At 35.3% G+C, this 26,392-nt stretch overlaps 1 protein-coding gene across 2 annotated transcripts in view; it reads left to right on the top strand.

The window, feature by feature from the left end:
• DCHS2 (dachsous cadherin-related 2) overlaps positions 1–26,392 on the top strand; it is a 260,058-nt gene that overhangs the window by 163,294 nt on the left and 70,372 nt on the right. The window contains exons 7-12 of one of the 2 annotated variants that reach the window (NM_001358235.2): positions 314–413; positions 6,018–6,175; positions 7,284–8,127; positions 12,519–12,758; positions 23,275–23,409; positions 23,628–23,837. In NM_001358235.2, coding sequence (NP_001345164.1) covers positions 314–413; positions 6,018–6,175; positions 7,284–8,127; positions 12,519–12,758; positions 23,275–23,409; positions 23,628–23,837 — 1,687 coding nt within the window. Of the gene's footprint in view, positions 1–313; positions 414–5,176; positions 5,862–6,017; positions 6,176–7,283; positions 8,128–12,518; positions 12,759–23,274; positions 23,410–23,627; positions 23,838–26,392 lie in introns of those variants that run through there. The other variant, NM_001142552.2, reaches the window with a different exon arrangement.

The raw sequence follows: 26,392 nt of genomic DNA, 5'->3' as shown, positions 1-26,392 counted from the left end.
TATGCTAGAAATCTTAAAATACACCAAAAATCTAAGATTGTTTAGCAAGTTCAATTTCTTTTTCTTTTGGTCAGAATTAGTTCAGATGCCTCAGATAATTCATTCTAATTGAATAAAAGATTTAATATGTAAGGAGGATTCTTTTCATGGACATACACCCATATAACTTTTACATGGTATGCATTTGAATTATATGTGGATTTTAAGATAGTTTAAAATGTTTAGTATAATGTATTCATTCATTTAAAGGTCCACTGATATTTCTTTTTAAACTTTTGCTGACTCATTTGTAAGCTGTTTGTTTTAATGGCAGGTTCTGGAAGGTCAACCAGTAAATATGTTGGTTACAACTGTGTTTGCAAAGGATCCTGATGAAGGAAATAATGCAGAAGTTACATACTCAGTATCTTCAGGTAAAACTTACTGTTCATACGGGATTAAGAACTTTTAGGATTTCTGCTTTCATTTATCAACTATCCCCTTCTGGGAAAAGAAGTTCTATTTTGATTACTTTGAATGCTGTAGTTAGTTTTGAAAAAGCACCAAGTTACAAACAAAATACATTTGCTATTGTCAAGAACTACTTTCAGTTTTTGAAAAGTAATTTAAAGTTTAATAAAAAATCAGAGTAGCTTTTTACGTTCTTAATAGAAACCATTCATCTTTAGTGAGTAATTTGCAATAATGTGAAGTACAAATTTACTTTTATTGATAGGAAAGTGTTAGTTAGGGGATAAGAATTGGTATTAAGTATGACTAAGAGTTCCAAGCATCTATAAATCTTTATGAAGACTGAATACTTGTAAGGTCAGAGTAAATCATGCCTAGAAAATGTCACATGTATACATGCGTGTGTGTATGGGGAAATTTTATTGAAGTGGGCTTACTATTATGTTTTCTGTTGGAACATGCAGGCCCCAGATTTTTTCCAGTTATTTACTTTAATTGGCATTGTGTTTTATATAATTTTAAAAGACATTTGGTGCTTTGTCATGTTTGACACAAACATAGGACATAGGAAAGAAGAGATAACATTGCCCTTTCCCACAGATAGTTTGATTGTCTGCATGGAAAACCCAAGAGATGCTATAGGCAACCCATTGGAATTAATAAAATAGCCAATTTTCTGAGAATAATGTCAACATACGAAACTCACTGGTATTTTTAAAACTTAGCAGTTTCCAAAGATCTCATTCACTATGGTGAATTCACAAAGAAAATGAAAGGGGGTAGGAGCAGATCTACTGTGAAACTAATGAAGCTAAGTTTTGCGGTGTTTTACTTGCATAGCCTCCCCAGGGAGCGGGAAGTGGACAATTTATTTTTCTTAAGGAGTGCCTCTCAAACTGTACAAACTTCAAAACAACACAGATAGGATCTGTCTCTATTAGGGGCATAGAAAAAATTCCAATATAACTTGTATAAGACTTTCATACAGAAAAATATAAAATATTAATGAAGGACATAAAAGAATGAAATGAAAAGCTGTATCATGTTCATGCTTGGGAAGACTCAATATCCTAAAGATTACAATTCTTAACAAAAATATCATTATTAATTCAGTATGATTTCAATCAAATGTTCAATGAGGCTTTGATAGAATTTGACAAGCTGATTCTAAACATCATGTGGAAAAGCAAAAGACAAGGAATAACTAAGACAATGTCCAAATAACAAGTGGGAAGTTGGCCTTACCCAGTCTTAATTTATAAAATTTCATAATTAAAACACTATTGTATTGATTCACTCATTAATAAATGGGCCAGTTAAAAAGAGTAGGGGTCACACTTTACACGTACGGAAACTTGACATATGAGGGGGTAGAAAATAAATGGGGAAAAGATGGACTATCAATACGTGATGCTGATATGATCGGTTACCTACAAGGAAAAATATCTCTACTCTCAGCATATCAAAGATGAGTCTTATTAAATGTAGAAATCTTTAACTCTTACAAAAGAAAATATGAGACTGGTTATATATATGGCATTGAGAATAAAGAAGACGGTTTAAACAAGAAGAAATGCAGAAGCTCACAAAGAAATAGATAAATAAAACTAAATGAAAATTGAAAACACTACAAAATATGCCATTGTTTACAATGTGACTATTCAAGTCACAAGTTGGGAAAAGATAATTATAGTCCAGTAACCAATACAAAATTAGTATTCAGAATTTATTAAGAACTCCTGCAAACCAGTAAGAAAAACCAGTAAATAAATAATAAAATTGGACAAAGAATGTTAACAGACAACTCAAAGAAAAGAAGCCTGAATAATTAAAAAGGTTTTTAAAGCATGCCCAGACTCCTTGTTGTGACGACTTCGAAGAACAATGAAGCAATATCTGATAAGACTGGAGATGTGCTTATGCTATACCCTTGCAGTTCTACTTCTGTTACCCTAGAGGAACTCTATATGTGCAGAGTGAGACTGTAACAGGATATTCATTGAAGCATTGTTTCAGTTGTCTGCATAATATGGTATATTCACGGAATACTATACAGCAATGAAAATGAATACAATAGAATTTCATACATGGCAGTGTGGATAAATATTGAATCCAAAGTTAAGCAAGGAAGGCAAGGATTTTACAGAAGATAAAAAGAATTTGACGCAAACAGCAGCTTTGAGTTCATTGCATTGCTTTTCCTTGGAAAAGTTACATATGCAGTTCTTCTCAATACCTCCATGGTCAGGGAGCCAAATTCTTCTCTGATGTTTCTATGCCCATATAAACCATCCGAACTTATTTACCTATAAATGTCTTCCCAAGTTCTCAGGACACTTGAATGGTGGATTATACAGAGGTAGTGAGCCTGCAGCAGATCCACATTTGGAGACAGCCCTTCCTCTGTGTTCCTGCTGTCCCCTCCTTCAGAGACTCTTTCCCCATTCTCCCCCTCTTTTTTTGTCTTCCCTTTTGTTACTTCTCAAATTTCTCTTTTTGTTGTCTTAGCTTATTTTAATCTGGTCCTTGGGTGGGAGAAAAACTGGCTTTGCAGGTATGCATTCAAGAATCTTTCTCTGGCTATGAGGTCAGTTAGGTCAATAAGATCTTTATATCTTTTTTTCCTGTCTTATTTTGGGGTGGAGAAGACAACATAGTGTACCTGTGAAGGACAATGATTGTGAAGAGGGAAAATACACACACACACACACACACACACACACACACACACACACACACGGCTATAATCCTGCTATAATACCACTATTTAAAAGCAAGCAAAGCCATGGCATATGTTATTTATGGATGTATGGACTTCAAAGATAAACCTCAACTTCAGTTATAAAAGTGACTTTCTACGGGGAAAAAGGAGGGGAATGAGATTTGGAGCTATATACAGATCCACTCCTTTATTCATACTCTGCCATTTCTTGGAAAAAATTGAAAAAATATTGAAAATTAATCAGTCTAAGAAGTGATACTTTGGTGTTCATCGAAATATTCTTTTTTTATAAATTAGCTTTTAAATGATAATTGAGGCATGTCAATACAAAAATATGGAGATATATATTACATTATTCCCATCTTTATTTTTTATCTGATAGTAAAATAGAAGCAACTACAAAATATATGGTAAAATAATGAGATGAAAATTGGTATAAGGGGAATAAAGGTATGTATCATATTCATGAATGCATTCTATAGTATTTCTGTGAGAACAAAATCAATGGATTAAAGCATAGAAATCACAACTAATAAATGTTACATAATTGCCTGCTCCATGCTATGAGTTTCTTGAAGACAGGGGTTCTTTTTTATTTGCTTTTATGTCCCTAAAAACTGATAAGGTATTTGGTCCATAGTAATGACTCAGCAACTGTTGAACTAAAGAATGGAGGGGAGCTTCTACTCAAGACTTGTCTGAGGTTTGAACTGTTTGAAATGTTCAGATTTTATTGAAGAATACAAATCTGTTATTTAACTCAAAACCTTATGATACCAATCTAAATTATAAGCATCAATATGAATGTATAGATGTGTGCATGTGTATTCTCCGTGCACTGAAAAGGCCTAGAAGTGATGACAAACCCAGAAACGATGAGCACCTCTAATGTCCCAAATATGTTCTCCCAAAACCATTTTCCACCAAAGGAACCAGGAGTCCTTGGAGAAATGATGATGTCAGGTCATGGTCAGGAAATCTACAAGATGAGTCTGCACCATTTTGTCATACCAGTTACAAGGAGGCTACTAAACACTATTAGGATCATGGAAAGAGACCCGGGAACCAACTTTAAGAAGATCCCAATGTTTGGTGATGGGACAGTTTGAGCATCAATAAGGATAAAAATGGCAATATATTGAAATACAACTAATATGTTTAAATCATGCTTAACGATTTCCAAAACAAAAGCAAGACAAAATTTTACTTATCATAGTTGGAACATTGGTGGATGTTAGTGAACCAACCCATTATTTCAAAAACTGTTAAATAAAAGTTTAACTCATCGAGCATTTATCCTGCCTTTCTTATAATGAACTCCTCTGAAAGTTTCTATTTATTGAAATATTCCAGCTAATACATGAAAAAGGGATGATAAACCAGAATGCAGTGCATATTGAGTATCCTTAATCTAAAATGCTTGGGACCAGAAGTGTTTCAGCTTTTGGATTTTTTTTTTTGGTGGGTTTTTTTTGGGGGGAGGGATATTTGCATATACATATTGAGATATCTTGGGGATGAGACCCAAGTCTAAACATGAAATTCATTTTTTATATACATCTATATGCATAGCCTGAAGGTAATTTTATACAATATTTTTTATAACTTTGTGCATGAAACAAAGTTTTGACTGTGTTTTGACTGCAATCCATCAGATGAATCAGGCGTAGAGTTTTTCTTGTTGTAGCATCATGTCAGTACTCAAAAAGTTTTGGATTTTGGAATATTTTGGATCTCATATTTTTTGGATTTGGGATGTCAACTTGCATTATACTTCACAAAACTTAAAGAATAATTAATGGATCTAGGCTGTGCATCAGTGGGGGGCCAACATCAAAAATAACTAGCTTTTGGCCCATGCCTGTAGTCCCAGCTATCTGGGAGGCCAAGGTGTGAGGATAGCTTGCGACCCTGAACTCCAGGCTGCAGTGAGCTATCATGGCACAATTGCGCTCCAGCCTGGGTAACAGAAAGAGACTTCATCTTTTTTTTTTTTTTTGGCAGCTAGACCTATGCCTCTGAAGGGAAAAACAGCATTTGGGAAGCAGTCGTGCAAAAAACAAACAAACAAACAAACAAACAAAATCCTGACCTGAATCTGGTCAGTTCTCTAGATCTGCCTCCCAATTTAAGGAAAACATAAGAATAGAGGAACATATTATGCTACACGTTGGAGATGCAACAGCAAATCTAGATCATGGAAAATGTCAGGATACAAGTTCCAGTTTATTCAACAAATAAATTGCAAGGACAAATAGAGAGATGGGTGGCAGGAATCCATAGATTAAAGAAATATGCAATATATGGACTTTATTTTGATCTTAATGTAAACAAGAAAAATAAAGAGTATTTATGGGATGGTTGAAAATTTGAAAACTTACTGAATATTTGGTGATACTGTGAACCATTATTAATTTTTAAGGTATAATATGGTACTGTGATGATTGTGTTAAAATATTTATTTTTTAAAGATGCATTTTGAAATATATACAGAAGAAATAATATGACTTCTGGAACTTACTTCAAAAAAAATGGGAGAAGCGAAGTATATACATGGGGAATAGATGAAATAAGATTGGCCATGAGCTGATCATTGTTGAAGCTAGGTGATGGACTCGTGAAAGTTTATTATACCATTTTGTCCACTTTTTTGTATGCATTTTCCATAATAAAAATTTTTAAAAAGTGATGTTTCTTGTCTATTTTTAGTGTCATTTTTGTGTTCATACTCTCATAGAATTCAAAGCAAACAAATCTTCCAAATGATCGATATATTGGATTAATTGATTTTCTGTTTTCTGCATTGTCAATTAACATTCATTTCTTAATTTTCTTGTGTGTGTAGAAGATAGTTCTGATCACTTTAAGATTGACGCCAACAATGGTGAAATAAGAACAACCACAATACTTTCGTATGATTATAGACCTTCCTACAGAATGAGTGTCATTGCCACTGACCAGGGAGTGCCTCCTCTTCAAGGACAGGCAGTTGTTAATATTCAGGTAATGTTGTCACCATAAAATATGGAAGGACATCTAAAGATTTCATTTGACTTTCATTACAAGTTTATAGAGTGAAGATACATGTAATATGTATGTATATGAATATGTATGTATGTTACATGAATACTATTTTGAGAGCATTGCACATAGCATACTTAGCTTTTTGCTATCACTAGAAAAATGATTTAGACCCAAATTATTTTGCAAATTAGCTTTGTACAGTTCTTGACAAGATAATCATCACTATATTGGCATTTATGTTGCTTTGTTTATAATGGACAAAAGGTATCTTTTCTTGTGCTTATTTCTAATGTCAAGGCTCTGGTAAATTTGCAGGAGACACTTGTATGTAAACAAATGGCCATATAATAAATGACATAGATTTTTGTAATTTTTTTAATTTAGAAAAGTAACTCCAGATTCATATTTTAAGGCTTTACTTTAATCATAATGGGCAAACAAGTTGTGAGAAGTCTCCATAGTAAGAAAAAAATTACACCAACCACTCAAAGAAAGATGACTGTGCATAGTTTCTTTGTGTGTGCATGTGATAATCAGAAATATTAATACAGGTATATACAATAACCAAGGATATATATCCACAAGAACTCTGTTTCCAAATTATATTCTTTACTGCTTAAGGGTATGTGGGTTAAGAGAAAAATCTGTATGGTCATACCTCCAGTTTCTTGTTTCAGACAAACAAAGACATATGATACTTAAATGTACACAGATGTTGTCATTATGGATAGATCAGTCTGTAGTATTTAAAATAATCTGGAGAACTAGCTACCCTGCATTCCCATTGAAGAATCACAAGGCTACAGTTCAGCTTAACTATAACATGGCTTTACCAAACTGTTGTTTCACACAATACAGCAAACTGGGAAATAGAAAATTCTGTAGCTGTTATCTCCTAAATATTATGCAGTTTTTGATCTTCTGAGACATACTGGAATTATATAATATAAAAATGACATTTTTCTCACTAATTAACATATGATCACATACATGGAAGGAATTTGCTTTCAAAATAATATTATTACATTTATTCATTAAACTGTTTTAAAAATACCCCAAATTAATATCTCTTTTATTCGTATTTCAGGTGATCCCACTATCCAAAGGGAGAGCAATCATGTCTCAGAATATTAGACATTTAATTATACCAGAAAATTTGAAGCCCACAAAAATAATGAGCTTGATAAAGTCATCTGATCACCTTCAACAACATTATAATGGAAAGTTACATTTTAGTATTGTTGCAGATGATAAGGATGGACACTTTGAAATAGACAGCTCAACCGGAGACTTGTTTCTTTCTAAGGAACTTGATTATGAGACGACATCTCATTATCTTTTCAGAGTGATTACTACAGACCATAGCAAAAACCTTTCCCTGAGTAGCACAGTCTTCCTTAGTATCGATGTGGAAGATCAGAATGACCATTCCCCATCTTTCCAGGATGAGCTCATTGTGATCAGTGTAGAGGAGAATGTTCCCATAGGAACCCTGGTGTATGTCTTCAATGCCAAAGATGATGACGGCAGTTTTTTGAACAGTAGAATACAATACTACATTGAATCCCACAACCCTGGCACGAATCCATTTCTCATCCACCCCTCATTTGGCACACTAGTCACTGTGTCCCGTCTTGACAGAGAAAGCATTCCAACTGTCATCCTGACAGTAACAGCATCTGATCAGGCTGTGAATGTGACAGACCGGCGACTGAGATCACTGACAGCACAAATAGTGATTTTGGATGTAAATGACCACAACCCCACTTTTATTTCTTTCCCCAATGCCCATGTCAAAGAGGATGTCACAGTGGGCTCCTTGGTCCACCACATAACTGCTCACGATCCAGACGAAGGAAGGAATGGAAAAGTAACATACAGCATCCTCTCAGGAAATGAAAACATGACGTTTATGCTAGATGAGTCATCAGGTACAGTGCCCTATATGTCACTTTTAAAAATATTTTATTTTATTGTGGTAAGAAAACATGAGACCCACCCTCCTAACAAAGTTTTAAGTGTACAATACATTGTTGTTGACTGTGAGTTCAATGTTGCACAGCGTATCTCTAGATATTATTTACCTTGCTTAACTGAAACTTTAGTTTCTCCCATTTTCCCTTCCATCCAGCCTCTGACAATCACCACTGCACTCTTTGATTCCATGAATTAGACTATTTTAGATACTTCATGTAAATGGAATAATGGAGTTTTGTCTTTTTGTGACTGGCTTATTTTACCTAGCAAAATGTCCTCAAGATTTATCCATACTGTCACATCTTGTAGAATGTCTTTCTCTTTTAAGGCTGAATTGTCTTCAATGGTATGCACATACCACATTTTCTTTATCCATTCATCTGCCGATTAACATTTTTAGGTTGTTGCCACATCTTAGCTATTGTGGATGGTGCTGCAGTAAACATGGGTGTGTTACTCTCTCTTCAAGATCCTGATTTCAATTCTTTTGTATAAATATCCAAAAGTGGAGTTGCTGGGCCATATGGTAGTTATAGTTTTATGTTTTGAGGAACATCCATACTATTTTCCATAGTGGCTGTAACATTTTGAATTCCCACCAACAGTATACAAGGGTTCCAATTTCTCTACGCCCTCACCAATACTTGTTGTCTTTTTTTTTTTTTTTTTTTTTTTTAGTAACAGCCATCCTAACAGGTATAAGCAATATCTCGTTGTGGTTTTGATTTGCATTTCTCAAATAATTAGTGCCATGGAGCATTTTTTCATATACCTGTTAGCCATTTGTATGTCTTTTTTGGAGATGTTTCTATTCAAGTCTTTTGTCCATTTTAAAATTAGGGTTTTTTTATGTTTAGTTGTAGGAGTTTTTTTATATATATTCTGGATATTAACCCCTCATCAGATAGATGATTTACAAATACTTTCTCCCATTCTATAGGTTGCCTTTTTCTTTGCTGTGCAGAAGCTTCTTAATTTTATGTAATCCGCCTGTTTATTTTTGATTTGTAATCTGTGTTTTTGTTGTCTACCCATGAAATAATTGCCAAGACCCACTTCACAAAGCTTTCCCCTCTGTGTTTCCTTGTAGGACCTTTATAGTTTCAGGTATTACATTTAAGTCTTTAATCCATTTTATTTTGTTTTATTTTTGTATAGTGTAAGATAAAGATACAACTTCATTCTTTTGCATGTGGATATCTGGTTTCCCCACATCATTTGTTGAAGAGATTAGCCTTTTTCGAAAGTGTAGTATTGGAAACCTTGTTGAAGATCAATTGACCATATATGGGTGGATTTATTTCTGGGCTCTTTACTCTGTTCCATTGGCCTAAATGTTTATCCTATGCCAATACCATACTGTTTTGATTATGGTAGCTTTGTAATATATCAAAGCCAGGAAGTGTGATGCCTCCAGCTTTGTTCTTTCTCAAGATTATTTTCACTCTTTGGGGTTCTTTGAGATTCCATTTGAATTGCGATATTATTTTTTTCTATTTCTACAACAAATGCCACTGAGATTTTGGTAGAGATTGCATTGAATCTGTAGATCAGTTTGGGTAGTATGAACATTTTAATAATATTAGACCTTTCACTCTATGAACATACATGTCTTTCCATTTGTATCTTCTTTAATTTCTTTCATCATTGTTTTGTGGCTTTCAATATGTAGGGTACTCACCTCCTCAGCTAGCTTTATCCCTGTTTTCTTTTATTCCTTTTTGTGCTATTGTCAATGGAATTGTTTTTCTAATTTCCTTTTCAGACAGTTCCTTGTTAGTGTATAGAAATGCAACTGATTTTTGTATCCTGCCTTTTCTGAATTTATTTGTTCTAACAGTTTTTTGGTGGAGTCTTTAGGATTTTCTATATATAAGATCATGTAATCTACAAACAGGGATAATTTTACTTCTTTCTTTCTGATTTGGATGACTTTCATTTCTCTTCCTGCCACTTTCAATTAAACCCTCTCATCGCTTGCTTATATTTAACTTTTTCTTTTTTTTCTCTTAAAATGATGGTTCTTAAGATACATATGCTTTAAATATTTTTGACTTCTTCTGTTGTTTAACTTATATATGTATATATGTATATACTTATATAACGTATATATACGTATGCATATATATATAAAATAGACACAGGGTTTGTATTTGGAGAACTAACTTTAATGGTCCTGTTTGTTAATATTAACTATGCTCTGTAGCTAGCTGACACTATGGGCTGAATACACAACAGAAAACTTCTTTGCCCCCATTGTGAGTCCTTGCAGGGTAGGATATGGTACCAATAGTGAATCAGGTAGCAGTATGACAAATCAACAGCATTGTTCAAAGACTTTAGTATGGAAATTTATCTTTGAGATTATACAAACATGTATTCGTAAATATTGGAAATAATATATATTTTTAATGGCTGAATTCATTTGGACATTAAGACCCCTGCTTTTCACATCAATTGTAACATTTCTTTTTTTGAAGAAGCATTTATTCACTGTCAGGTACTCTGCAGAAATGTCACTCACCCTCAACTTTACTTGTCTTGCTGTCACCATGTTGCTAGATAACATCTATTATATGTTTTTTATGTAGTTTGATGGAAGAGTAAATGTACAAATTTTCAGTCTTATGACTTTAAAAATGAACCTCCTACCTGATTTTCAGGGAATATTGAAAAATTAATAAACTCTCATCTTATTCACTAAAAAATAAAGTTATTTCTACATGAATGAAAAAAATCTCAGATATACACCATTTGGCCCAACTGTTAGTTAAAAGCATTATTTGGAATGGAGTTAAATGTGGAGGATTTGGAAGTCATGATTATAGTCTGGCTATATTCCGTTGGAAAATTTCATCAAAATATTTATTAAATCTTGTACATGTGGTTTCATTCTGAGGCATGCATGGACACCACCTAAATGCCCAACTGACAGAGAAATAGTCCAGACACAGGCTGCTGATATCTGTTAGAGCTGAGGCTCTCCAAGGACCTGTTTCAGTAATACTTGGAATGTGTTCCAAGATGGCTAAGAAAGGTATATTTCAGATTGTTAAAAAGAATGGATAAAATTAAACTTGTGTTTTGGTAATATAGGTAATGTGAATCTCTTGAGTAATTGCAGTGACTGTTTCAATGGAGATGTTTTTCAAAGACATAAAATGATAATTGCCAAATGCATTCATATGAGATGGGATTTTTTTCTCTCACAAAACTCATATTTCTTATAAAGAAGACAGTGAGTTTTTTGTGGCTATGGCTGTGAAATATAAAGTGATGAGTAATTATTGAAAAATTATTTTATAAAATAGAATTCCGTAAACTTCTTTCATTATTTCAAGAAAAATTCTTATAAAAGGGAGAAGCAAACAGCAATCCTAAAAGAAAAATGTGATAATTGGAATCATATAATGGCTATCTGTGTGCCAGTATGTATTACATCTGACTTATGTGGTTTATATGCTTAAATGGCAGTGGGATAGAGACACATTTTACTTGTGAAGTGTATTGTCTGAGTTATAACATCTTTGCTTTTTTTTCTTTTTTATTGAGATGGAGTCTTGCTCTGTTGCCCAGGCTAGAGTGCAGTGGCACGATCTCAGCTCACTACAGCTTCCGCCTCCCAGGTTCCAGTGATTCTCCTGCCTCAGCCTCCCGAGCAGCTGAGATTACAGGCACCCGCCACCATGCCTGGCTAGTTTTTTGTGTTTTTAGAGGAGATGGAGTTTCACCATGTTGGCCAGGCTGGTCTTGAACACCTAACCTCAAGTGATCCTCCTGCCTTGGCCTCCCAAAGTGCTGGGATTACAAGTGTAAGCCGCCACACCCAGCCTGAGCCACTACACCTGGCCTGCTCTTTATTGTTAAAAAAAATCCAGTTAACTGAGAATAAATATTAAGAGAGCATAATTCTTTAACAAAAATCAACCGTCTTAAAGAATATAGCCATACCCACATTTTTGTAACTTGGTCGCTTTTATACATGAGGTGTTATGTGACATGAAGATGATATATATTGTTAGTATCCTAGATATTTTTTAAAAGGGAGGTAGATGTTGGCTAGAGAATTTTAATGTAATCCTCTCAGTAGATAATTGCATAACATTGATTATTCTTGAATTGTTTTGTTTGATATAATTTAAATTGAGATGACTTTTCTGACTAAAAATGTTTGCTTTTAATTGTAGATAGTGTATACATTTAAAGATGATTTAATGCAGTTCATATTTTAGCAGTTAAGACTTCTGAATTTTTATTAGGTAGACAAGTTAGATATAAGTGGAGTAAGCATGACTTCTCTAAAGAATATTCATTACATGTTGCTTTTCTTCCATTTTCAAAACAGGCTTACTAACCACAACCTGTCCTTTGGATTATGAAATGAAAACTCAGCATATTCTGACTGTTCTGGCACTGGATGATGGCACACCAGCACTTTCTTCATCCCAGACTTTGACAGTTACTGTTCTTGATGTAAATGATGAAGCTCCAGTATTTAAGCAGCACCTGTATGAAGCCTCAGTGAAAGAAAACCAAAATCCAGGGGAGTTTGTTACCAGGGTTGAAGCTCTGGACAGAGATTCAGGTAATTTAGAAATACAGAAACTGGGTATTTAATGCTTAAAAGAAATTGAAGATTATAATTGACGTAATTTATAATAGTTATGGCTCAGAAAAAATGAACAGTTGCTAGTTATCTCAAATTTGTAATACTTCTTTCATTTGCATCCACACAGAAACACATACACCTGTAAAGATACAGATATATCACATAAGATTTGCTTGTATTAACTTTATTATTATTTATATTAGGGTGATACACACCTTATTAACATACACTTTATTGATTTGATCTTGATAATCGAAGTATGGACAAAGCATCACATTTCTTTCAGAGTATAATAGTTAGATACATTGAGAAGAAGAAGAAGATAAATGGTTCTTTATTTCCTCTGTATATATAGCATAGTGGAAGAGGCATGGTGCTGGTGTCAGACTGCCTAGATTTGAATCCAAAACTACCATTTACTTATGCCATGTGACCTTGAACAAGTTACTAATTCTTTCTATTTCCCTACTTATCTGTGATATGGAGATAATAACAGAGCCTAAATTATAGTTTGTTATGAGTATGAATGAATTATTACTTGTAAAGAGCTTAGACCAGTGTCTGACACAATAAATGGTCAATATGTTAACTTTGTTACTATTTTTACTATTTTCAAACACTATGTCCAGACAAATGACTTCGGAGTAAACAATTACTATGGCTAGGAATTTATAAATTTCTTAGACTTGCTTTTCAACATCACTGTGGCTGTTTTGGCAACTAAGGTTCAGCAACTTTAACCATATTCTGTTTTTATCTTAAACAAAATAATTACAAAAATTACAGTGCTGTGTTTCTTATTCACAGCACATGCTGAATTTTTCCATCTGAACTAATATGAATAGTTTATATTCCCATTCACATGTGAAACACTGAACTAATGTAAATATGAATATTATATGAATATAAACTATTCGTGTTAGTTCACCTTAATAATCCGGTCTTTTAAAATTTACGTTTGTATATAGCAAATGGCATTATATATCAATGTAATATTTTGTTATATTTTTGCAAGAATTGTAATAGATATTTTTATGGAAATAGTATTAATAATAGCATTTCCTTGTACATTGTTAATTTAAGGGGCAAAAGATACATTTACTTGAAATTTTAAAGTAAATTATAAAATATTTGAATACTTTGCCCTCTTGGAAAACACTGTCTTTTAATGAAATGCATTTTACATGAATTTGTATGTGATGTTACTAACACTCTTTTCAAGGGCTAACCCAATTTTCTGTCTTTGACCGGAGTGGGGCAGTGTGATCAAAGAGTTTTTCTAAGAGTTGAGTCCGAAGCATGCTAACGATTGTTTGCTCCAATCTGTCCTTAGAACTTAGTACGTTTTTGGCAGTATTCATTTTTAGGGTGTCAGAAACAATGAAGAATATACATAAGCTTTGTGTTTCACAATAATTTTAGCTCAGTAAAGTTCTCTTAGAGTGTTCTCTGTAGAAACAGAGCAATACAGGGTGCTGAGCAATGCAAAAACTACTTCCCAAAGTATATAGACATATACTGAACTTATTGCTGATGTTGTGTGATTTTGCAAACAGTAAGGTATGTAAAATGCTTCCTCCCTTTGGCCTTGCTTTATTTTATGAATTTTATTTTTTTGTAATGGATTCTACTAAAAAGGCTCCTCTTGCTTTAATGCTTGAAGAGGGAGAAAAGAATTTCTCTCAAAATTTGCATATATTAACCAAAGAAAATTACCATAAATATATTCTTCTGATTTTTACTGTCAAGTTGCCCAGTGTTAATGTTATTTTCATTTAGAATGAATTATCTGCAACCTGCTAATTATAATTGAATTGAAACTTTATTATTCTAGAGATTATGGTATGCCAACTGAGAATTTAGGTACAAAATTATTGTTTTTCTGAATTAATGGATGATTGAAATACACATTAACATCTTCATGAGTCTCATGTAACCTTACATATTTTGGAGACAATTTTGATTTACTGGAAATCTCAGTGTTTTTAATGAGGCCAGGTCTGTTAAGTAGGTGGTTATGTAAACACATGTGAATATTTGTGTGTATGCACGTACTTTCGAATATATTTTCCCTCAATCTTTTTTTTTCTTTTTTGATTATTGGGTTAAAACAATGAAACAGGATTATGCATGAGAATTAAATGACTTAGTCAAGATTTTAACATAACTGGCATTACACTGGAATTTATGAATGGTTTACTTTATAGTACGTATTTTTTTAAAAAAATACCACAGTGTTCCTTAATACTAGAGAGCTTAACATGTGTTTTCTAGCATTCTACGATGCAGTTTTTAAAAATGTAAGTATACAGTGTTATTTGGCATTCAAAGCCCACAGGGATTTGAGCACTGAATGTTTATGGTATATGACTCACATTAGCTCTAGCAGGAGTTTCTTCTTGTATCAAAAGGAAAAAACAACTACCAGATTTTAACTAAGGTATTAAAACTGCTGCAGCATTTGGTGCCATCAACAAGAGCGCCATTGTTAGTGAAAAAAGAGCTCCCCCTGCAGTGCCCTTCCCCCACTCCCAAGAGGAAAGGGTGCCCCACTGGGAATACCACTCACATTCGCTCAAAGGTGTCAAACGTAAAATAACTTAACAGTATATTGCCACACTGAAATATAGAATTCATTAGTGGATGTTATTCTCTATTCCATAAGAATGTATTCTGTTTCTGGGGTCATCTTCAATAAACTACATCTGGTTTTCTGGAATCCCTGGTGCTGCACTAGGTGTACAACTGCACCGCCTAAGTCTACACTTGGAGCCAGGGAGAAACACCTTATTTCATCAAATCTAAGACACCATTAATTGTAAGATGCATCTAATTTTGGAATACTTCCACTGGGCTGATAGCTTTATCTTCATAGGAAGTTATAAGGTGCCATTCTGTATACCCTTTAGAAGGTGACTTATTTGTGTGTATATCAAAGAATAAAGGATAAGGATGCTAAAATATCTGAATCTATGGCATTTTGTAATAACAATTTCTCATTCGAGTGGACAATACTATCTGGCTATTCAGTTTATTTTAAATGTTTCTTTATGGAGTGATATTTTCTCTGTATCATATACTCAGGCAAAATATCCATCAACTTTCCTCCGTACTTCATTTAAAGAGAACATATCCCTGATCCTTTATTTTTATTTATTTGTGTTTTATTTTTATACAGACGGAATCTCGCTCTGTTCCCCAGGCTGGAGGGCAGTGGCCCAATCATGGCTCACTGTAGCCTCAAATGCCTGGCTTCAAGCCATCCTCCAGCCTCCACCTCCCAAAGTATAGGGATTACAGTTGTGAGTCACAGCGCTGGGTCTCTCTGCACTTTATTAGTAGTTATTCATTGACGTGCCCCGTCATTCTTTCCCCAGTGGCATTTGTCCATCATTTTAGATTCAATCTAATTAATCCAGGGGCACATAAGGAGATCCATAGGATTCAAGCACAAGCCGATCTTACTGGCTTTGTGCCATTCCAGCAACCTCGATTATACTGAAGTCCCAGAGAAGGATTTAAAGGCGGGTTAGATTATAGAGCATTTCAAAAGTTGAATTTCCCAATCCAAAGCTATGGAACATTTGCTAGAGAAAGTCACAACAGCATGCTAATTGAAGCCATCGCCTACTTAGGCTGCAGTATTTCTGCTAATCCCTTAGTGCTGTTATGTTTTCCTTGGCTCTCTCTATATAAATTTTCTCTATATATATATTAAAAAATTCTATTATAAATATATTTGCATAAATATCAAAAATAAGGAGATGAAAAAGAATAAGGACCAGTCATAACCTCACTCACTCAGAGACAATCACTGTTAAAACTTTGGTATATATTCTTAATACATTTAATATATAGTATTATAATTGTGTAAATGTTTATTCACCTGCTTTTTCTCTAGGCTGTGAACTTCTCCTGGATTCAGCACTTTTTATCTATTAATACATTTATTCCAGGTTCTTAGAGTAGTGCAAGATATGACATAGGAACTCAATAAATATTTTTGACCATATGGTCTGAGAAACTGAAGCATGTATGACATAAGCTTCCTCAAGCTGCCCTCACTGTTTAGAATTTATTTATTATTTATTCCTTTATTCAATCAACCAGGCATAATTCTATTTTTGCTTTAGAAATGCCTGATTGTGAGGACATTGTACAGTCGAGGCATTATACAAACAAGAATCTTGGCTGGGCACGGTGGCTCATGCCTGTAATACTAGTGCTTTGGAAGGCCGAGGTGGGAGGATTGCTTGAAGCCAGGAGTTCAAGACCAGCTTGGGCAACATAGCAAGACCTCACCTTTACAAAAAAAAATATAAAAATTTGTTGGGTATGGTGGCATGCTCCTGTAGTCTCAGCTACTCAGGAAGCTGAAGTAGAAGGATGGCTTGAGCCCAGGAATTTGCTGCCGTGAGCCACGACTGTGCCTCTGCACACTCCAGCCTGGGTGGCAGAGTGAGATGCTGTCTTAAAAAAAGAAAAGAAAAGAAAAATGATCTTCCTAAAAATAACACACCCCTGGAAAGAATTCTTTATTAAATCCCCATAGTTTGAGGAAGAGGAGGATAAAATTTTATCCCTTTTAGCTTAACAATCAGCTTTCCTGTCTGTTCTCAGCTCCTAGCACTCTCCCACCTTTTACTCTAGGATAGAATTCTGGAAAACTTTTTCCTTTAAAGGACCAGATAGTAAATATTTTAGGCTTTGTGTGCTTTACGGTCTCCTTTGTGCAACTCTGACACTATAGCAAGACAGCAGCCATAGTTAATATTGTGTGTATTTCAATAAAACTTTACAAAAACAGGGAGCAGGCCAGATTTGATCACTGGACTGTAGTTTGCCAATCCCTAGTCTAATGCATGTGTCTAATTAAGACATCTAAGTTACTTGCTACTTTCTGCTCATCAGATCCAATTATCATGATGTCATCATAATATCTCTACCAACTAGATGATGTCAACAGTGGGAGAGTTTGCATAAAGATGGGTGAAAGCCAATGAGTTCTGATAGTTCTTATAAATTAGTATCAAATGTTGCTTCTCAAAAGGTGGTCCCTGGGACCATTGGCACCATGATCCATCCCCAGTCTACAGAAAACAGCACCCATTCTGCTTTTCAAGGATGCTGATGGCCTTCTAATATCTTTCCCAGTGTACTTATGAAGGTAGGGTCCTCTGATCTCTTGGGAAAGGTAGTGGGAGTGTTTGGTGAGCATGTCATACATGATAAGTTCACTCTAACATTCTCATTTCCTTAAGCTTTGGATTATTTATAGTATTCAAAAGAAGACCTAATGTCTCAACCTCAGTGATTATAGGCTCCCATTGAATCCAACCAATCAAAGAAACTCTCAAGAGACACAGCTCTATGGGCTAACACATTAAATTCTGACTCTCTAGCAAACAGTATCAATATTGTCTATTTATCTATCAATAAATCCAGCCTAAACCAATGTTATATCTTCCTAGGTCTCACATTCTTAGAACTGATTTCCACACATATTCCCCAGGTTTATGCCAATATAACTTAGAAAATATTATTATTCTTTGAAACTATAAGCTTCTTTGACTGAGTCAGATTTGCACTTGGCTACCTGAGTTATGTTGAAATCTGACTCTGGTTATGGGTATTTACATGAATAGTCATCTCCTTACAAGGTATTTATTATACCTGCCACTCAATTTGGGTCTGATCTTCAGGGAGGTTAATTTTAGGCCTTCTATATAGGAGCTTTCCAGCTTTCTAACCATGACTTGAGTTACAGGTTTAAAGCCTCAGCTCATAGTTATCGTTCTATAATTTCCTAGTCCTTTGAAAAACAGTCTTCTGCATCATAGTCCTTTTTACTATTATGTGGTCAAAGTCAGCGCCATTTGGTTCTCTAAGGAATTTGAGTCCTTTAATAGTCACTTTATCACAGTCAAACATGATTGATAATTTAATTAATCGTGACAGCACTCCAAGTATTGAATTCCTAGCATTCCATTTCCCATGGTTAAGGAACTCATAGCTGCATTCAAAGCCTAAGACATAACCAAACCAATCTCAGAGTCCCTGTTACCTGAGACCCAATTCTGGTGCCAAGTGCTCTATCAGCCATGTTTAGTCAGGAAGAATAGATGCTACAAACAGGTGTTGGATGAATGAGTAAGCAAGAAGGGAATACTGAAGTAACCAAAAAGACAAAAACAAAGCTCTAGAAGGCAGCTACCACCCCTAATACTGGGAAAGAAGAAGATGTTTGGATTATCAGACCCTGGGAAGGAAATGAGAGAGGGGGCCTTGCAAAGGAGTAGCAAAACAGACTGAATAGCATTGCTGATGACGACAGTAGGTAACTAGGAAGAAGGAAGTCCCATTTTCTGTCCTTCTGACTTTTGGTCTCCTTCTAGTGTCCTTTTGTGGCAAACCCTAGGAGAGAGGTAGTTGGCAATGGGGAATGTAGTTTGCAGATCCCCAGACCCAGCATCACAGGGTGGAGTACAGAAGAACAGATTTGGATCTGAGACACTATGGTTTAATAAATAATACACCATGTGAAGAACTGAAAAGAGCAGGCAGAGGGAACAACCACTACAAAGGCCTCAGCAGAAAGATGCTTAGTATGTTCAGAGAACAGAAAGGAAGCCAGTGCGATAAGAATATAGCAAGGGAGCAAGTCCATGAAAAGAGGTTGGAAAGATATGCAGAGCCCACATCATATGGGACTTTGTGGACTGTGGTAAGGTATTTAGATTTTCTTTTGAACTCATTCAAATGTTCTTTCTTCCCTCTTACCCATTAACTCCTATTCATCTTTAGGGTTTCCGGTTATATCAAGGCAACTCAACTTACCCATCATGTCTATTCAGGGGGAATTGTCACTGCGAGCTTGCTTATCTGTATCCGGTGCTATATTGTAAGCACCATGAGGGTAGAGAATTTGTCTGTTTACTAGCAGTTATATTTTTAGCACATGGTATGGTATCTTGGCACCTAAGATCACTCTTTATATATGTTAATACAATGAGATAATTAATGACAAACTATATACCTGAGATAAGTCTTCTATGATCCACTCCCTCAGTGATTTCATATATTCCATCACACTTTCCATTACTCGTTGATTTAATCATCTTCCACTCTAGAGAGAAACTCTGAGGTCCAAGGTAACTATTCAGTGGTGCCTTTCCAGTACCTGACATTCAGTATCTGTGCATTCATAAATGAACACATGAATGAATAAATGAATGAACCAACCAAATAGATATGGATGCAAACTGAAGACATGAATGTATAGAGTGAGATGACAATGGCGTGATGGCCAGCACATTGATTGTCAATGCACCCCACTCCTGGAACCAGGAGAAAAATATGTCATAGAGAAACAGACAAAAATATTATTTTTCTTTTATTTTTTACTTCTCTCTTCCTCATGCCTTCCTCCCCTCCCTTCTTTTGTTTCTTTGTTTTTTGTTTTTTTTTTTTAAATTGGTCAGCCATATATGATGCCACAGAGAAGACAAGTTAGGTAAGAACTAGAAATGGCCAGTAGACTTTATAATCAGAAGGTCATTGGTCACTGTAGAAAGAGTAACTGGCAATGGCATGGTTTGAAGCTAGCTGCAGACTGAATATGATTTTCAAAAGAAATTTGGCCACAAAGAGGAGGAGATAAAAGCCTAATTCTTCTTATAGCTAGAGAAGGATATAATTTAAGGAAAAAAATTTTAGGAGAAAGACTAGACCTGACAGGAAAATTCTGAGAGTGTGTTTGAAGAATGACTTTTGCCATTGAGACAGGGAGTAAGGGGTACAGTTGAGTACAGGTGCAGAGGGTGAGGGAGTTCTTTCCCAATGCCTCCTTTCTCTCTGGGAAATGGAAAGGGAAGTGATCTGTGAGAGTAAGCCAGGTAGTGGTCGGGTAGGAGACCTGAATGGAAGAGGGGTGATTATGGACACCTGGAAAGATTGCCAGATACAACAGCACTGCAGTTGTCTCAATCCATGCTGTTGTGAAATTTTCTGTAGCCCCAGCCATCTGTTGGATATTCAAATGGAGTAAAGAGATGGTTGGAATGATCCCAGGCTGAAGCTTTGCTGGAAATCTTTGGCAGAAAGCCCCAGGACCTGAGAAACTATGCAAGGTTGCTAGAGGAATAGCTCATGGGGCCGGACTGGAGAAGGAGAGAAATGAATTGAGGAGAGGTATCCTAGAGCCGGAGGATTAAGAAGTCATGGGACTGCAGGTCTTGAAGTCTAAGAGAAGGTAGATATGTGTGTGTGTGTGTGTGTGTGTGCGCGCGCACATCTGTGTATGTGTGTATTCACACTGGTGTGCATACACACATAGGTATGGGCATATATACACAGGCACACACACACACATATCTTTTAGTGGGCATGTGTCATAAGGATATCACTAAATATCTTCAGATCCAAATTTCCAATTTGCTCAGTGAGGTGATAGAATGAGGCCAAATAACCTCTTTTTAATTTTTATTTTCTTAATTCTCAAGTTTGATGATGCTATGTTTGTTCTGTAGGATTATAAGGGTGTAAGGGTGTAAGGTGCAAGGCACTAGTTAAATTCCAAATAAGCCATAGTAAAATACATTTAATTTACTTCCTAATTTGTAAAGGGTATGAAGTTTGGGGTATGAAAAATGTGTGTATGCAGACTACAGTTATAGGTAAAGATCTTATTTATCCTTAATAATATACTAGGAGGGTTGAAGGTTAATGTATTGTTATCTTAGGGATAAAAAACCTGTATAGAATAATAGAACAAAATAAAATCTGGAAGTTTCTAAAAAGTCAGAGAAATATTGAGTAGAGTGGTGAAGCACATTAGAGGATAATGGGAAGGGACAGCAGAAAGATCTGAATTTATGTGTAAACAATTGAAGACATTTTCTAGGTTTGGCAAGTGGTGAGAATTAAAAATGTATAATATATAGCATTCTATAATATGTAATACAATACATAATATGCAATGGTATATATAATGTGTAAGAAAATCATATAAAATAATATGAAATGGTGTATATATAATGTGTAACAAAATCATATAAATGAGCTCATTCATTTAAAAGATCCATGTAATCTTTTTGAAGACAGAGGTCATATCTGACTCAGCACTCTGTCTTTGGCACATAGTACTATGCTTGGCACCTGATATTTCTCTCTTTTTTTTGAGGAAAAGGAAAGTAAATATAAGATAATATTGTTCCCATTTTTATAATGTAGGCAGAGATAGGAATAACAAATTTTAACAACCTGGAACTTTAAGAAATTCTGTCTTGCTATAGAATAGATTATATGATCCTTAAGTTACTGAAATAATCACTATGACTCTTTAGTAATATCATTAATAATATACGTAATGCCTAATAATAGAATGAAACATTTTGGTGACCTCTGACCATGTCATATCAAATACATTGGTCCTATGTTATTAGACTTTTTTTCTCAGGGTCATTCCAATGCCTGCAGATTATATCTCAAATATATTTCTCCTCCAAGTTATATAGTAATATGATATGTATTTTCATTCTTATATAAAACTAGAATTCTATTTCACTCCTTTCAGCTCTCAGTCCTATATAATATCTGCCAGATCATAATGTAATGAAAATTTACTTTTTAAGACTGGCAAGATGGAAATTTGTAATTGAAGATTTTTTGTTAAGGCCAAAAGAATGACATTTCGTCTTTTATTAAAGTATAACATCATATATTCTCAGTACTGTGTGTACACCTAGATTCTTGTCAGTTAAGAAAGGAACATAGGAAAATAACTGAGAGGAACTTGTGTAAAATGCAATAAATTACAATGGCATGGGACAGACTCATTAAAATTAGTAGTATGAATGATCTTCATAACCAGAGATGGAAATGACGTGATACTTTTCTCAGGGGAGAAATGAAACCACAAAAATATGGGAAGAATTATTTCCAAAATGCATAATAATGTGGTACCACATTTCTCACTCCAGATAGCAGACTGAACACTAAGTCGAAAACAAAACAAACAGAAATACGTGTATAAGCAATTCTAGGTGCTCGCTTCTTGAGGTTGAGAATAAACAGAGTTCTATAACTTAGCACGGGCTTTTAAACAGCAGGTCAATCTACAGAAATTGTCATTTGCCCTGCAAGCTTACAATTAAGTCATTAAATCACAATCAGAGGTGTTAGAAGGAGTAATTAGGAATATGTTGTAGAGTTGCACACTCATAAGAAATTTTTTATGGGAAGGAAAAAATTCTAAGCATTCACTGTGGGGAAGTCTCATAAGACTTTTGAAAATCAAGCATTTCAGCCCATGAGGCTTTTATTTTAGCAAGAACAGCCAAAAGAGGTTTTCTTTTACCTTAATTTAAAGGCTGTTTGAGAATCTTGCCATTTTCATCTATGGCCTAACATGTTCAAAGGAAAAGAAATAGGAAAGTGGATAAATGTATTTCAAAGAAATGATTGCTAAGTTTTTCTTTATATTTTTCTTAAGGAGTCAATTCCAAGCTTCAGTTTGAAATCATGCCAGGTGCTTCATTTGAATTATTCGAGATAAATTCTGACACTGGAGAGGTAGTGACAACCACCATACTTGACAGAGAAATTCAAGAAGTCTTCACCCTTCGAGGTAAGGGATTCTTTGAGTAGGCTAAAAAATAAAAATTAAAAATTAAATTTAAAAAAAACCTGTTAAGTGGTGAAATGTTATATTTTGTTGGGGTGTTTTTAAATAAAATATTATTGAGCCAGTGCTACCTGGTTAGCCTGACATTGTCTAGTTAGAACAACATATTTTAGGTATGAATCAAAGGCCACAATTCATACCGTCTTTGTGTTCTGTGTCAGTACTAGTACGAGATGGGGGATTCCCTTCATTGTCCAGCACCACAACAATCCTCTGCACTGTTGAAGATGAAAACGATCACGCACCAGAGTTTATTGTTTCCAGTTATGACATTGAGGTTCTGGAAAACCAGGAACCAGAGGTTGTCTATACGGTTTTAGCCTCTGATATGGATGCTGGCAATAACAGAGCTGTTGAATATCACATAATTGGTAAGTTTGTTTGTTTGTTTGTTTGTTTGTTTGTTTTTTTAAGACAGAGTCTCACTCTGTCACCCAGGCTGGAGTGCAGTGGCGCGATGGCTCACTGCAACTTCACCTCCCAGGTTCAAGCAATTCTTGTGCCTCAGCCTCCCAAATTGGTAAGTATTTTTAAATTAAAATTTATTCCAGGATGCTGACTGAGTTGACACACACTCTCTGTTGATTACTCTGTGTTTGATACCTGTTGCTTTTCTCTACAAAATACACACCCAGTCAGAACTGACTGGTGCCATGAGCTTTCTCTCTACCTCCTTCTCACAGCCACCTTGAACCACTGCTCTCCACATTCTTTAAAAATCTGCCTTTGCAAACTGCTGTGAATTTTTTTCTATGCTAACATTAGTGGATGTAAGGATGGAAAAGATAGTGTTTTTCTATTTTTGTTGCTTTCATGTGATCAGTTTTAATTTTTTTTAATTTTTCTTGTCTCATAGACAGATTCTTACTGGGTCATTTCATCCAGTCTCTGTCTTTAGCTACCACTGGGATGCCAATGGCTCCCATCTCCATCTGCATCCTAGATCTAGGTCCCGTTAAAGGATATTGTTTTTAAAAGTAAAGTAATAACTCTCATACAAATATAAAAATGGTACCTGCGAATAACTTTTATTTAATTCACTAATGAATAAGTAAACCAAAAAGATGTTAAAATGGGTTCAAGGAGAATTCCAAGAGCCATACACAGGCACATACACACACAAAGGGAATAAGGAATTCTGAAATGCAGAAAAGGTGTATTTGCAAGACAACAATCAGTGCATTTCACCAGATTTACTTGCATTTCTGTGGATAAGAATCATTTACATTATTATCAGTTTTCAACAATTTACAGAGTGGTCAAAATGCGGTGAAGGTGGAAGAACATTCTGATGGCAAAGACACACTGGACACCTGTGCCCCACCCTTCTTTCTTCAATACCAGGACACCTACTAACCTTGTTCCTCCTATTTCAAATTATTTCACAATTTCCTAACAGCCCCAAGGACCCAGTCTTTATATCCAACAGCATTGCATTATCAGTGTGTCCAAAATGACACATCAGCCTCACCCCCTTTCTACCTCCCCCATCATGGTCTGGGTCCTTCTGCTAGTCTCTGCCAGTGATCTTCAGCTTTTTTTTTTTTTTTTTTTTGCTTCACTTACCCTTAAAATAATCTTGAAAACTTATGTACGCAGACATATTTTTATGTTGTCAACTAAACTTTTTTTAAAGAGTAACAAAGGTGTGTTTCCCAGCATATCCTAAATATTGACACATTAAAATAAGACTGTTATATCAATCACCTTTTAAAAGTATTTGATAGAATAAAAAAACCTTAAAAATATATGAAAGGTGTCCAGGTACGGTGGGTCATGGCTGTCATCCCAGCACTTTGGGAGGCCAACGTGGGCGGATCACCTGAGGTCAGGAGTTCGAGACCAGCCTGGCCAACATGGTGAAACCCCACCTCTACTAAAAATACAAAAATTAGCTGGGTGTGGTGGCAGGCACCTGTAATCCCAGCTACTTGGGAGACTGAGGCAGGAGAATCACTTGAACTTAGGAGGCAGAGGTTGCAGTGAGCTGAGATTGTGCCATTGCACTCCCTCCTGGGGGAAAAGAGTGAGACTTTGTCTCAAAAAAAAAAAAAAATATGTGTGTGTGTGGGTGTGTGTGTGTGTGTGTGTGTGTGTGTGTGTATACGTATATCTATTTCATATATATGTGTGTATATATACACGTATATATATTTCATATGTGTGTATATATACACGTATATATATTTCATATATGTGTGTATATATATAAGTATATATATATGAAATATATATAAGTATATATATATGAAAGGCATCCTCCCCTTGTGTCACCTTCCTCTTTCCTGGCTCTGCATGTCTCTTCATGGTCCCAAAGTCTCCACCTGTTCTGCCCAAGCTGAGGCCACCTTCTCAGCCAGGTTGGAAACTGGGAGCTCCGTAGCCCTCGGATGGCTGTGGGACTCAGAAATCTTTCCAGGAGCAGAGAGCATACCTTGGATTGGCAAAGCTGCCTGCCAAGCCACCATGCCCAGGAAATCGGCTAAAAAGGTGACACAGCAAAGGTGATAGAGGAGCCACACAGGAGATAGGCAGGGTTGTCTGCTAAACCTGCCCTTCCAAAAACAAAAGCCAGGCCTAAAACAGCCCCCACAACTCGGCAAAGAAGGGAGTGAGGTGTGTAAGGGGAGAAAGGGGAAGGGGATGCTGGCAAGGATGAGAACCACCCTGCACAAACCAAGACGCCTGCACAGCGCAGTCACAGGGAGCGCAAGGCGCTGGGAATGCCAAGTGAATTGTAAATTTTCATAGCTCACAGACTCTACTGTTTGAAATATGATTTTTTTAAGTTAATAAAAATGTAGAATTTTACTTAAGTTTTTTTCAATTATATGTATGAATGAGCATTTTCAGTTATATGTTTTGCATTTTTACTTCTTCAATCAATATTACCTTTCTACATCCTTGCAGAATTTTACCATAACGT

Source organism: Homo sapiens, chromosome 4 (assembly GCF_000001405.40).
Source record: "Homo sapiens chromosome 4, GRCh38.p14 Primary Assembly".
NCBI classification, from domain to species: Eukaryota; Metazoa; Chordata; class Mammalia; order Primates; family Hominidae; genus Homo; species Homo sapiens.
The sequence above is the reverse complement of the archived record's forward strand: the minus strand, read 5'-3'. Positions and strand labels throughout refer to the sequence as shown.